A 14,608-nucleotide genomic window follows, 5' to 3' on the forward strand; every position below is an offset into this window, starting at 1 on the left:
GAGAGTGCTCTCTATCCCTTCTCTTCTGGGATCCTGATTCCTGGCAGCTTGGTGAATATTCTACCATATTGCCTTTTATTTGCATAAACCCATTTTTCTTTTACAAAAACAGGAACATTCTGTTCACACTACTATGCAACCTGCTTTCACTGATCAGCATGTGTTAGACATGTTGACATGTCCAATACACACACATCTTCCTTGCCCTGGAAACACCATCCACCTTCCTTTCTGCGTGTAGCTGTCCCGGCATTTATCTCCTGGTTCCTCTAGTGACAGGCATGGGGGATTTCTAGTACATGGCTGTTATCCACAGTACCACAATGAACATTTTTTTTTTCTTTTTTTGAGACAGAGTGTCACTCTGGCCCGGAGTACAGAGGCGTGATCTCGGCCCACTGCAACCTCTGCCTCCCAGCTTCAAGCAGTTCTCTTGCCTCAGCCTCCCAAGTAGCTGGGATTACAGGCACATGCCAGCATGCCCAGCTAATCTTTATATTTTCTGTAGAGATGGGGTTTTGCCATGTTGGCCAGGCTGGTCTCGAACTGACCTCAAGTGGTCTGCCTACCTCTGTCGGCCTCCCAAAGTGCTAGGATTATAGGTGGGTGCCATCACGCCTGGCCGAACATTTTTTTTTTTTTTTTTTTGAGACGGAGTCTCACTCTGTCGCCCAGGCTGGAATTCCGTGGCGTGATCTCAGCTCACTGCAACCTCCACCTCCTGGGTTCAAGCGATTCTCCTGCCTCAGCCTCCTGAGTAGCTGGGATTACAGGCACATGCCACCGCACCCAGCTAATTTTCGTATTTTTAGTAGAGACGGGGTTTCACCATGTTGGTCAGACTAGTCTCAAACTCCTGACCTCGTGATCCGCCCACCTCGGTCTCCAAAAGTGCTGGGATTACAGGCGTGAGCTACTGTGCCTGGCCTGAACATCTTTTTAAAAAAGATTTATTGCTTATTTATTTTTGTAGCGATGGGGTCTCACTAAGTTGCCCAGTCCAGTCTCAAACTCCTGGGCTAAATTGATCCTCCTACCTCAACCTCCTAAGTAGTTGGGATTACAGGCATGAGCCCTTGACCCAAACTGAACATCTTTGTTCTCTTTTTTTTTTTTTTGAGACCAGCTCTCACTTTGTCACCCAGGCTGGAATACAGTGGCATGATGATCTCGGTTCACTGCAGCCTCGACCCAGTCTCAAGTGACCCTCCTGCCTCACCCCTCCAAGTAGATGGGACTACAGGCCTGCACCACCACACCCGGCTAATTTTTGTATTTTTTTTTGTAGAGATGGGGTCTCACCATGTTACCGAGGCTGGTTTTGAACTCCTGAGCTTAAGTAATCTGCCCGCCTGGGCCTCCCAAAGTGCTGGGATTACAGGCATGAGCCATCATGCCCAACCTTATTCTTATTTTTGAGCGTTGGTGAAAATCACTTCAGGATATTATTCCTGGAAGTAGAATTGTTGGGTCAAAGAGTAGGGACATTTAAAATTTTAATTCATTGTCATTTACACTTGCCAAAGGTTTTTACCAATTTATGTTACTGTGATACAAAAATTACGTGCTTGCCAACAGTATTATCAATGTTTAAAACTTTGCCAGTCTAAGTGGCAAAAACAGATTATGTCATTGTTTGATTTTGATTTAGTGAGGCTTGGCAAACATTAAGTTTCTTAGAAAATCTTTTCTGTTGGGGAGCTGCCCATTCTTGTCTCACTACATTATTATTATTATTATTGAGATGGAATTTTGCTCTTGTTGCCCGGGCTGGAGTGCAATGGTACGGTTTTGGCTTACTGCAACCTCTGCCTCTCCAGCTCAAGCGATTCTCCTGCGTCAGCCTCCCAAGTGGGATTACAGGCATTTGCCACCACACTGGGCTAATTTTGTATTTTAGTAGAGATGGGGTTTCTCTATGTTGGTCAGTCTGGTCTTGAACTCCCAACCTCAAGCGAACCGCCCACCTTGGCCTCCCAAAGTGCTGGGATTACAGGCATGAGCCACTGTGCTGAGCCCTGGCCTGTATCCTACTCTTTGAAAGGAAGTCATTATGTACATGCAGCCCACACCTCAAGGAAGTTACATGCTCTCCTTAAGGGCAGAGTAGCTACCTACATTAATTATTCAACTCCTCTGCAAGGGAGAATTCTCTCTTCTCCCCCACTGATTAATTTATTCAATCATGTACAGAGTTTTTATTAGTATTAGACTGGTGATGTACCTTGATCATTTGGTTAAGGTGACTGATAAAAAAATTTTTTTTTGTTTTTTGTTTTGAGATGGAGTCTCGCTCTGTTGCCCCGGCTGGACTCCAGTGGCTTGATCTCGACTCACTGCAACCTCTGCCTCCTGAGTTCAAGTGATTCTCCTGCCTCAGCCTCTTGAGTAGCTGGGACTACAGGCACCTGCCACCACACCCAGCTGATTTTTTGTATTTTTAGTGGAGACAGGGTTTCACCATGTTGACCAGGCTGGTCTCAAACTCCTGACCTCATGACCCACCCACCTTGGCCTCCCAAAGTGCTGGGGTTACAGGTGTGAGCCACCTTGCCCGGCCTAAGTGTACTCAAGCCTTAGTTAAGGTTTATTTATTTCTATTTATAGCAAAGACAGCTGAGATGTCAAACTCTTCCCTTTCATGGTCTCCAGTGCGGTGCCCGTGGTAACAGCGTTTCACAGGAAGCACCGTGGAGACGCAGCCCAGGGGACTGCCATGGCCCTGCGAAGGGGCAGCGTCTCTTCCCTCTGTGGTCCCCTTTACCCATTCCATGACAAATGGTAGGCAAAAAAAGATATCGCAGGAAGGCCCTCCGTGATTCACTTCATATGTTTATGTATTGGTTGAATTATTTTTGTAATTTTAAAAAAGGAAAGGCAAAGTCATTTTATAGCAAGGCCGGATGGAACTGGGCGCCCTGAGTGCAGATGCCATATGTTTCTTCTGCTTCACAGGCTTCCCTCTGGAGAGAACCAGGCTGCCAGAGAGTCTGTGCTGTTCTCAGCAGCACAAACAGTTGCTAGAGGAAAGGTGTTAATTCCACACTCTGAGGACCAGGCTGGCCCAGATACATACTGCTCCTCAAGCCTCACAGAGGCGGGAGAGGGGGACCTCCTCTTGGATTTTGTGGGTTGGTTGTTACCCAGGCATAGACTTGCTGCAGGAGCTGTGATTTTTTTCACAAAAGTAGTGAGAAGGGGCATTGATTCCTAATTCACACTCAAAAGGGAATACTTTTATTTTTAAAAATATAGTTTCAGTATTTTACCTTCCCTGATGCCTCTGACCTTGCCAGACAGTCACAGAAGGTACTTCCTTGTCTGCTGCCTGTGGATGGGTAAAATACTTTTTTTTTTTTGAGACGGAGTCTTACTCTGTCGCTCAGGCTGGAGTGCAGTGGCTCAATCTCGGCTCACCACAACTTCCACCTCCCAGGTTCAAGCAATTCTCTGCCTCGGTCTCCCGAGTAGCTGGGATCACAGCCGTCTGCCACTAAGCCTGGCCAATTTTTTGTATTTTTAGTAGAGACGGGGTTTCACCATCTTGGCCAGGCTGGTCTTGAACTCCTGACCTCGTGATTCACCTGCCTCAGCCTCCCAAAATGCTGGGATTATAGGCATGAGCCACCGTGCCTGGCCATAAAATGTTTTTAAAAAATTTTTTAGCTAGGCTCTAGCTGCTCTGGAGGCTGAGGTGGGAGGATCACTTGAATCCAGGAGTTTTTGAGGCTGCAGTGAGCTCTGCACCAGTCTGGGCGACAGGAGACCCTGTCTCTTAAAAAAAAAAAAAAAAAAAAAAAAAGGGTCTGGTGGCTCACGCCTGTAATCCTACCATTTGGGAGGCCAAGGCAGGCGGATCACCTGACGTCAGGAGTTCAAGACCAGCCTGACCAACATGGAGAAACCCCGTCTCTACTAAAAATACAAAATTAGCCGGGCGTGGTAGTGCATGCCTGTAATCCCAGCTACTCAGGAGGCTGAGACAGGAGAATGGTGTGAACCCGGGAGGCGGAGCTTGCAGTGAGCGGACATAGCACCACTGCATTCCAGCCTGGGCAATGGAGAGAGACTCCATCTGAAAAAAAAAAAAAAAAAAGAGAAAAGCCTCCATCGTGACAAAGGGGTTAAATAAGCAACCAGAGGCCGGGCACGGTGGCTCACACCTGTAATGCCAGCACCTTGGGAGGCCAAGGTGGGCAGATCACGAGGTCAGGAGTTCAAGACCAGCCTGGCCAACATGGTGAAACCCCGTCTCTACTAAAAATACAAAAATTAGCTGGGCATGGTGGTGCGCATCTGTAATCCCAGCTATTTGGGTGGCTGAGGCAGGAGAATCGCTTGAACCCAGGAGGCACAGGTTGCAGTGAGCCGAGATCATGCCACTGCACTCCAGCCTGGTCAACAGAGCAAAACTCCATCTCAAAAATAAAAAAATATAAGCAACCAGGAGTGAAACACACCTGTGGAGGCAGGGAACTCAGGAAATCAAGGAAGAAAAAGGTGTCTAGTAAGTACAAGATGAAACATCACTTACCTAACTTCCCTTCCCACAACGTCACTAAAGCTATGGGAAAGGAATGAAAAAGGTATCAACTCACATGGGCAAATAAATGGAAACAATAACAGCAATAGACGGGAAATTTAACAAAATATTTGGAACACACCCAAAAAACTGGATGAAAAAGCTCCCATTTTAGCAATAAAGGGAAGTAGAATGATATTTATAGGAGTTTTAAAAATCTATTATGGGCTGGGTGTGGTCAAACATTGGGAGGCCAAAGGGGGTGGATGACCTGTGGTCAGGAGTTCGAGACCAGCCTGGCCAACATGGTGAAACCCCGTCTCTACTAAAAATACAAAAATTAGCTGGGTGTGGTGGCACACCCCTGTAATTCCAGCTACTCGGGAGGTTGAGGTGGGTGAACTTGGGAGGCGGAGGTTGCAGTGAGCCAAGATCGCGCCACTGCACTCCAGCCTGGGTGACAGAGCAAGACTCCATCTCAAAAAAAAAAAAAAAAAAAAGCCAGGCGCGGTGGCTCACGCCTGTAATCCCAGCACTTTGGGAGGCTGAGGCGGGGAGATCACGAGGTCAGGAGATGGAGACCATCCTGGCTAACAGTGAAACCCCGTCTCTACTAAAAATACAAAAAAACTGCCGGGCATCGTGGCGGTCACCTGTAGTCTCAGCTACTCGGGAGACTGAGGCAGGAGAATGGCGTGAACCCGGGAGGCGGAGCTTGCAATGAGCCGAGATCCCACCACTGCACTCCAGCCTGGGCGAGAGTGAGAATCAGTCTCAAAAAAAAAAAATCGGCCAGGCACACTGGCTCACGCCTGTAATCCCAGCACTTTGGGAGGCCGAGGCGGGCAGATCACCTGAGGTCTGGAGTTCAAGACTAGCCTGACCAACATGGAGAAAACCCGTCTCTACTAAAAATATAAAATTATCCGGGAGTGGTGGTGCATGCCTGTAATCCCAGCTACTCCCTACTCTCCTGAGGCAGAAGAATCGCTTGAACCCAGGAGGTGGAGGTTGGGATGAGCCGACATCGGGCCATTGCACTCCAGCCTGGGTAACAGAACAAGACTCTGTCTCAATAAATAAATAAATTAAATAAATAAAAATGCGGGTTGCCTGTGGCATGGTGGAAATTGGGCTGTGGAGGCAGGGCTGTGCCAGAGGGGAAAACCTGACTTAGATGCACTTCCCTGAGAGGTGGGGACAGCCCAGCCTGTGGCCACCCAAATGTATCGGAGCCTGATGGATACCTGGAGACATCATGTTGACAGAGGCCAAAGTGGTTACAGGACAGCCACTGCGAGGAGCTGCTACCAGGAATCCTCTCCAATGAACTCCTCTCCTGGAGGAAACTCAAGAGGCGACAACGAGCTGATTTTTAACCAAAATGCTTGTACCCGCTCAGATTTCAGTGTCTTGGAGCGCAGAGTCCAGGAATGAGGTGCCTCCTGTATAGGTGGGGGAGGGTATCTGGGAGTCATCTCGCCCCTCCCATATCCCCCAACGTTCTCAGCCATTATCAGTCACAGCTATCCTACCAGACCCGCCTTCTTCCATCATGCCCATTTCAGAACAATGAAGGACTAGACAGTTTTTTGTTCCTTTTAATTCAGAAAGGGAAGGAAATAAAAAAGTGTGTTTAAATTACTATTGCAGAAAATCTGGCTGGATGCTGGGACCTACCTCTTCCAGGATGGGGATTCATGATTTAATTTTTTTGAGACAGGGTCTTGCTCTGTCGCCCAGGCTGGAGTGCAGTGGCACAATCTCGGCTCACTGCAACCTTCGCCTCCTCGGTTCAAGGGATTCTCCTGCCTCAGCCTTCCAAGTAGCTGGGATTACAGGTGCGCACCACTGCGCCTGGCTAATTTTTGTATTTTTTTTTTTTTTTGGTAGAGACGAGGTTTCACCATATTGGCCAGGCTGGTCTCGAACTCCTGACCTTAAGTATTAAGTAATCCGCCCGCCTTGGCCTCCCAAAGTGCTGGGATGACAGGTGTGAGCCACCGTACCTGGCGGGATTCATGATTTAAAGCAAAAGAAAAAAAAGAAATAAATTATTCTGCTCAATACTGTTTGGCATAATTGCATTGCTTTTCATCAACACTCAAAACAGCCTCTTCAGGAAGCACTGAGATGGGAGTGGCAAGACTGGCTGAGGCCTAGCTCTCTAAAACGGTGGGGGAGGGGGGAGCGCCCTGAGAGAGGCATTCTACTAACCCCACCCCAATCACCCCTATTTTTACTCTTTCTACTTTCGGAATTGGAAAGAACGACACTCGAGCTAGGTTCCAATATATTAACTTTCAGGGGCCCACTGCCCATCCCAACCCTCCCCTAACAAAGTCCCCTGCCGGTCCCTGTTCCCTCAGCCAGCTGCAGGAACCTACCAACGGCCAGGAAGCTGCCTGGTGGTGTCAACTAAGAAAAGGGGGAGCATCTGCGCCGTCACTGTTGGGGAGGGGGCTCTATTAGTGGTTTGAGAGCTTCACAGAAGCCTTCCCCCTCCTAAACCTCCCCAGCTTCGAAGGGGGAGAATTCCACCAGCAGCCCCGTCAGGGACCTAAGCTGGGTTCAGCCATGCAAGCAGCTTCCAGGTGGAACCCCGGCCGCGAGCTTCCCAGCCCTTCTAGAGCGGGAGATGGAGAGCAGGGTGGAGGCAGGCGGCTTGCGGCGCGCAAGTCTCCTCTTCCCCGGCCGGCTCCCGGCTGCGAGCTCTGCCAGCTCAGAATTTGCAAAGAATCTGCGGTTTGGCCACCCACGGCAGCTTCAGCTTAACCAAAGAATGAGCCCCAGGCAAAGTTACCCCCAGGCAAGAGGCGATGGGTGGAGGAGGAGGTACATGCAGCGGGCAGCCGGGCCCATAGCCAGCCTCCTTCCGCCGTGCAGCCCCCTCCCCAGGGGCCAGAGCCGGCCGAAGACTGGGGGTAGGGACGGAGTCGGGGGACGGGATTTTTTTCCAGAGCAACAGGTAGGCTGGTGAGGAGGCCTCCGGCCCAGGGAGAGGCGCTGAGAAGGCTGCGGGTGAACGGGAGGGTCGAGGGCACACGTGAGTGACAGCACCTTGCACTGAAGGGGACAGGGCTTCCTCGAGCTCTGCCCTGTCCCCTCCACCTGTCCGGAGTTCGGCCCGGGAGCACCCCACCCCGCAGAGGGCGCCACTCCCGGCTTCCTGGAGACGCAGGAAGCCCTGGGGGCGCAGCCATCCCACAGCGCGGCCGAGGTGGGACTGGGGGTCCCGCAGCGACCGCTTTTCTTTGGTGGGTCTGCACGCACCTATCCGGGCAGGCGGGGAAAGGGGCCGGGCGGCCACCTATCTCCTGAGGCCCGCAAAGACCGCCCGCTCTCCTCCAGGTCTGGCCAGCTACTAAGACGATCCTCCGCCCGAGGCTGACGGAAGTGCTTCGCCGAGGCCCGCGCCATGCTCTCCTCCTCAGAAAGCGTGAAAGAAAACCCTAACCCAAAGCATGAGGGAGTGGGGATTGAGCGGCCGCTGGCCCGCCCCCGAAGGCCATTGATTGGAGGAGACTGGACACAGCGCCGGAAGTTTTCCTTGAGTCACATGATTGGCTGGGAGAAACAGAAGCTCCGCCCGACCGCAGCGCAGATTGGTGCCAGGCCCGGCCGGTCCCCCAGTCTCGTGATTGGCGGGGCACAGCAGACGCCCCTGGGCTGCAGCATGATTGGTCGCGGGTTGCTGGTCCTGGGTCCCGGGCCGGAGCCCCGGTGCCCGATAGATGGGCCGGAAGGGTCGCGGCGAGGCCCGGCTCAGTTGCCCCGGTAGACTTCGATCTTGCTGGCCTTGGCCAGCATGTCGATGATGTGGGCCTCGAAGTCCGCGTCGTGCACGCCAGTCTTCCGGAACTCGCCCGCGTACCGGTTGTTCTCCCAGTAGTGGTGCCAGTTGCCCCGGCTGTCGGCCCCGAACCCGTACACGTTCACCTGCGGGGAAGCGCAGCGGAGCGTCACCCCAGGCGGGGACCTGGAGGATGGCGCGGGGCGGGCTCGGGATGACAGGGAGGAGAGGGGACGGGAGGCCCCGGGGAGATGCAGGAGCCCCCAGGCCTGGCCTAAGGACATGGACTCACATGGGGACACCACCTTCCCTTTGCAGCCCTTGCAAATTCCTCCTTTTTTTTTTTTTTTTTTTTAATGGAGTACTTTGATCAGCACCACTCAGTGAAGCACTTGCCGGGCCTCAGCCCTGCTCTTCATTGCAAGGCAGCCCTGGCCACTGGTGGAACGGGTTCTCTGAACGACTGAGTTCCATTTTTACACGAAGTAGGCCTGGGGCTCAGAGCTGGTGGGGGCAGTCGTCCAGCTGAAATTCAACTACATACACTCTCCATTCTATTTATGTTTTTTTTTCTTTTCTTTTTCAAGACAGCGTCTCATTCTGTCGCCCAGGCTGGAGTGCAATGCCGCTATCTCGGCTCACTGCAACCTACGCCTCCTGGGTTCAAGCGATTTTCCTGACTCAGCCTCCCGAGTAGCTAAGATTACAGGCGTGCCCCAACACGCCTGGCTAATTTTTTGTACTTTTAGTAGAGATGGGGCTTCACCATGTTGGCCAGGCTGGTCTTGAACTCCTGACCTCAAGTAATCCGCCCGCCTCAGCTTCCCAAAGTGCTGGGATTACAGGCGTCAGCCACCGCGCACGGCCAATAACTTTTTAATGAAGAGATTTTGGATTTGGTAGAATCATGAAAGCAGAAACGTTTGGGAAAGGCATATCTATACTTTACAGCCTAGAGATGGGGGAAACCAAGGCCACATGGATTCTGCCTACAGAAGCACATTCCTCTGTTAGCCTGCTAAGACCCGAGAAGGCCTGCACTCCTCTGTTCCATGGGTTCCCACCACCCACACCACGGGCCTACCCACCTCATCACACACATGCAGGGCAAAGAAAAGCACCAGCATCCCCGTGGAAGGGTACCGCCCGTGATGCTCTGTCCACCTGTCGTGGATATACTTGAAGAAGGCTGGGTTGTAGATCTGGACCTGGGAGGAGAAGGGATGACAGGTATATGAGGGGTTTAGGGGCAGAGATTCAGGCTAGACTGAGCAGCTTCTACTTGTCTATGCCTGTCAGAGACCTGTGCGTCTGTGTCTCCTGAATCGTGTGGCACCTGCTAGGGTCAGGCATCTCGGCAGATGGGGACCCTGAGGTTCTGCAGGGGAAATGGAACACCTGAGCTACAGGACCAGGCACACAGGCTGGGCCAGCACTGTTTCCACTGAGGTGGGGAAGAAGTGGGGAGCTTACCTTTTCTTTATCCACTCGAAGGAAGGACTTCACTGGGGCGTAGGTGCTGTAAGCAAAAAGAAAGAAAGATAACATTTCAGGCTGGGCACGGTGGCTCACACCTGTAATCCCAGCACTTTGGGAGGCTGAGGCAGGTGGATCACCTGAGGCCAGGAGTTCGAGGCCAGCCGGATCACCTGAGGCCAGGAGTTTGAGGCCAGCCTGACCAACATAGTGAAACCCCATCTCTACTAAAAAAACAAAAATTAGCTGGGTGTGGTGGAGCACAGCTGTTATCCCAGCTACTTGGGAGGCTGAGGTTTCAGTGCGCCGAGATCACACCACTGCACTCCAGCCTGGGTGACAGAGTGAGACTGTCAAAAAAAAAAAGGAAAGGAAAGGAAAGGAAAGGAGAGGGGTGGGGAGGGGAAGGGAAAGGGAAGGAAGGGAAAGGAGAAAGGAAAAGAAGGGAAAGGAGAAAGGAAAGGAGAAAGGAAAGGAAGAAAAGATAACATTTCAGGTGGCCCCATGGGACCTAGGGATGCCCCCCACGCCAGGCCTGAGCAATGTCAGCCCCACAACTTCCAGACTGCTCTGCTTCTGGACTGCTCTCCCGTGGCTTGTTCATCATTGCCATGCCTTACTCTAAAGCCTTCAACGGTCCCCATGGCATCCAAGATAAAATGGGAATGTTTTCAGCAAGCGATGGGGCCTTCCCTAGACCAGCCCCAACCTTCCTCCCCTAGCTCTCTGCTCCATTAGAGGTGGCAATCATCTCAAATCCACCATGTCTCTGCTCTCACCCCTGCCCTCGATCCACTCCCCTCAGGCTTCCCAGACCACACCTCCCTGTAGCCAGCCACGGCCCCCGTAACCTACATGCCCTTCTCTGAGTGTCTATGGTACTTCAACTCTACTGCATCCATTTTAGCCCTCAGGTCTCCCAAACATGAGATAATGAACATCCTAAGTCAGGAAACTGTAACTCATTACTTTTGTGTTTATAAAATACATGGTGATGATACCCAAAAGGTAGAACACAAACCAAGCATCCTTGAAGGATAAACGGATAAACAAAATGGGTATATCCCTACATTGGCATAGTATTCAGCCTTTAAAAAAAACACAGGAAATTCTGACACATGCTACAACACGGATGAACTATGAGGACATTATGCTAAGTAAAGTAAGTCAGACAAAAGGACAAATACTGTTATGATCCCACTTACATGAGGCATAAAGAATAGTCAAATCAGGGCCGGGTGCGGTGGCTCACGCCTGTAATCCCAGCACTTTGGGAGGCCGAGGGGGCCAGATCACAAGGTCAAGAGATGGAGACCATCCTGGCCAACATGGTAAAACCCTGTCTCTACTAAAAATACAAAAATTAGCTGGGTGTGGTGGCACACGCCTGTAGTCCCAGCTACTTGGGAGACTGAGGCAGGAGAATCGCTTGGACCAGGGAGTCTGAGGTTGCAGTGAGCCGACATTGTGCCACACTGTACTCCAGCCTGGCGACAGAGCGAAACTCTGTCTCAAAAAAAAAAAAAAAAAAAAACACAATAGTCAAATCAGGCTGGGTGTGGTGGCTCATGCCTGTAATCCCAGCACTTTGAGAGGCCAAGTTGGGCCGATCACCTGAGGTCAGGGGTTCAACACCAGCCTGGCCATCTGTACTAAAAATACAAAAATTAGCCGGGTATGGTGGCCCATGCCTGTAGTCCCAGCTACTCGGGAGGCTGAGGCACGAGAATCGCTTGAACCCAGGAGGCAGAGGTTGCAGTGAGCCAAGATCATGCCATTGCACTACATGCTGGGCAACAGAGCAAGACTCAGGCTCAAAAACAAACAAACAGGCCGGGTGCGGTGGCTCCTGCCTGTAATCCCAGCACTTTGGGAGGCTGAGGCGGGCAGATCACAAGGTCAGGAGATCGAGACCATCCTAGCTAACACGGTGAAACCCCGTCTCTACTAAAAATACAAAAAATCAGCTGGGCGTGGTGGTGCTTGCCTGTAGTCTCAGCTACTCGGGAGGCTGAGGCAGGAGAATCGCTTGAACCCAGGTTGCAGTGAGCCGAGAAGGCGCCATTGCACTCCAGCCTGGGTGACAGAGTGAGACTCTGTCTCCAAAAACAAACAAACAAACAAACAAACAAAAAAGAATAGTTAAATCATAGAGACAGAAAGTAGAATAAGGTTACCTGGGGTTGAGGGGAGAATGGAGAGTTAGTGTTTAAGGTGTACAGTTTCCATTTGGGATAATGAAAACGTTCTGGAAATGGAGAGTGGTGATGGCTATACAATAATGTGAATATACTTAATGTTACTGAGCTTTACACTTAAAAATAGTTAAAATGGCAAATGTTATATTGTGTATATTTTACCACACAACAAAAATATATGGTGAGACAGAGTAGATTAATGGTTGCCTAGGGCTCGGGGTGGGAGGAGTGGGGGTGATGGCTTAGGGATCCGGGGGTATCTTTAGATTAAAGACCCTTAGAACATGAAAATGTTCCTTTTTTGGTTCTTTTTTTTTTTTTTTTTTTTTTTGAGGCAGAGCCCTGCTTTGTTGCCCAGGCTGGAGTGCAGTGGCGCGATCTGAGCTCACTGCAACCTCTGCCTCCCGGGTTCAAGTGATCCGATCCTCCCACCTCATCCTTGAGTGGCTAGGACTACAGGAGCATGCCACCATGTCTGGCTAATTTTTGTATTTTTTGCAGAGACAGAGTTTCGCCATGTTGCCCAAGGTGGTCTCAAACTCTTGGACTCAAACAATCTACCCTCCTTGGCCTCCTAGAGTGCTGGGATTACAGGTGTGAGCCACTGCACCCGGCAGAACATGAAAATTTTTTTTGTTTTGTTTTGTTTTTTTGAGACGGAATCTCTGTCGTCAGGCTTGAATGCAGTGGCACAATCTCGTCTCACTGTAACCTCTGCCTCCCAGGTTCGAGCGATTCTCCTGCCTCAGCCTCCCAAGTAGCTGGGACTACAGACGTGCGCCACCACACCCAGCTAGTTTTTTTTTTTTCTTCCTGAGACGGAGTCTCGCTCTGTCACCCAGGCTGGAGTGCAGTGGCGCGATCTCGGCTCACTGCAAGCTCCGCCTCCCGGGTTCACGCCATTCTCCTGCCTCAGCCTCCCCAGTAGCTGGGACTACAGGTGCCTGCCACCACGGCCGGCTAATTTTTTTTTATTATTTTTTAGTAGAGATGGGGTTTCACGGTGTTAGCCAGGATGGTCTCCATCTCCTTACCTTGTGATCCGCCCGCCTGGTCTCTCAAAGTGCTAGGATTACAGGCGTGACTCACCACGCCTGGCCGGCCACACCCAGCTAATTTTTGTATTTTTAGTAGAGACAAGGTTTCACCATGTTGGCCAGGATGGTCTTGATCTCTTGACCTCATGATCGCCCACATCGGCCTCCCAAAGGGCTGGGATTACAGGCATGAACCACCATGCCCGGCCAAAAATTTTTATTTTTTATTTTTTTTGAGACAGAGTTTTGCTCTTGTTGCCCAGGCTAGAGTGCAATGGTGTGGTCTTGGCTCACTGCAACCTCCACCTCCTGAGCTCAAGCGATTCTCCTGTCTCAGCGTCCTGAGTAGCTGAGATTACAGGCGCATGCCACCACGCCTAGCTAATTGTTTTATTTTTAGTACAGATGAGGTTTCACCATGTTGGCCAGGCTGGTCTCTAACTCCTGACCTTGTGATCCACCCGCCTTGGCCTCCCAAGGTGCTGGGATTACATGCGTGAGCCGCAGTGCCCGGCCATGAAAATGTTTTAAAATTAATTGTGGGGCCGGGTGTGGTGGCTCATGCCGTATAATCCCAGCACTTCGGGAGGCCAAGGTGAGCAGATCATCTGAGCTCAGAAGTTTGAGACCAGCCTGGCCAACATAGCGAAACCCCATCTCTACTAAAAATACAAAAATTAGCCAGGTCTGTGGTGACACATGCCTGTGATCCCAGCTACTCAGAAGGCCGAGGCAGGATAATCACTTGAACCTGGGAGGCGGAGGTTACAGTGAGCTGAGATTCTGCCACTGCACTCCAGTCTGGGCAACGGAATGAGACTCCGTTTCAAAAGAAATTAATTGTGGGCCGGATGTGGTGGCTCATGCCTGTAATCTCAACACGATGGGAGCCTGAGGCAGGTGGATCACTTGATGTCAGGAGTTTGAGACCAGCCTGGCCAGCATGGCAAAACACCGTCTCTACTAAAAATACAAAAATTAGCCAGGCATGGTGACATGTGCCTGTAATCCCAGCTACTCGGGAGGCTGAGGCACGAGAATCTCTTAAACTCGGGAGGTAGAGGTTTCAGTGAGCCAAGATTGCGCCACTGCACTCCAACCTGGGTAAGAGAGTGAGACTCCATCTCAAAAAAAAATAAAATTAAAAAAAATTAAAATTAATTGTAGTCATGGTTATACAACTCTGAATATATAAGAAGTTACTGGATTATACACATTAAATAGGTGAGATGTATGGGATATGAATCATATCTTGATAAAGCTGTTAAAAAATATACTTGGTGAACTAGATTTCCCATGGTTCCCGGCTATGATGGGACAACTACCCCCAAAGAAAGTCCTCAGAAGGCAGAGCTCCCTCAGTCAGGAGCCATCACCCAGAAAGGAGACCAAAACCAGATGGTCTGGCCGGGTGCGGTGGCTCACACCTATAATCCCAGCACTTTGGGAGCCCGAGGTAGCTGGATCATCTGAGGTCAGGAGTTCCAGATCAGCCTGACCAACATGAAGAAACCTGTCTCTACTAAAATACAAAATTAGCCGGGCGTGGTGGTGCATCCCTATAATCCCAGCTACTCAGGAG

General features: G+C 50.8%; 1 protein-coding gene across 1 annotated transcript in view, besides 3 other annotated features; it reads right to left on the minus strand.

Moving 5' to 3' along the window:
• Positions 1 to 2,575: 2,575 nt before the first annotated feature.
• Positions 2,576 to 14,608, minus strand: part of ST3GAL2 (ST3 beta-galactoside alpha-2,3-sialyltransferase 2) — a 63,124-nt gene continuing 51,091 nt past the window's right edge. The window contains exons 5-7 of the mRNA NM_006927.4: positions 9,789 to 9,834; positions 9,404 to 9,523; positions 2,576 to 8,461 (exon numbers count right to left, since the gene is read on the minus strand). Coding sequence (NP_008858.1) covers positions 8,288 to 8,461; positions 9,404 to 9,523; positions 9,789 to 9,834 — 340 coding nt within the window. The 3' untranslated portion in view covers positions 2,576 to 8,287. The remainder of the gene's footprint in view (positions 8,462 to 9,403; positions 9,524 to 9,788; positions 9,835 to 14,608) is intronic.
• Positions 7,861 to 8,030: an enhancer, noted in NCBI's record as "active region_11054". NCBI's record gives its function as "activates an Ori minimal core promoter by ATAC-STARR-seq in GM12878 lymphoblastoid cells {active_cell/tissue: GM12878}" and the evidence as "EXISTENCE:reporter gene assay evidence [ECO:0000049][PMID:35858748]".
• Positions 8,061 to 8,120: an enhancer, noted in NCBI's record as "active region_11055". NCBI's record gives its function as "activates an Ori minimal core promoter by ATAC-STARR-seq in GM12878 lymphoblastoid cells {active_cell/tissue: GM12878}" and the evidence as "EXISTENCE:reporter gene assay evidence [ECO:0000049][PMID:35858748]".
• Positions 13,837 to 14,521: an enhancer, noted in NCBI's record as "H3K27ac hESC enhancer chr16:70421141-70421825 (GRCh37/hg19 assembly coordinates)". NCBI's record gives its function as "activates a minimal SCP1, AML or CMV promoter by ChIP-STARR-seq in naive H9 embryonic stem cells {active_cell/tissue: H9 hESC(naive)}" and the evidence as "EXISTENCE:reporter gene assay evidence [ECO:0000049][PMID:30033119]".

This window comes from Homo sapiens, chromosome 16 (genome assembly GCF_000001405.40).
Source record: "Homo sapiens chromosome 16, GRCh38.p14 Primary Assembly".
Lineage (NCBI taxonomy): Eukaryota > Metazoa > Chordata > Mammalia > Primates > Hominidae > Homo > Homo sapiens.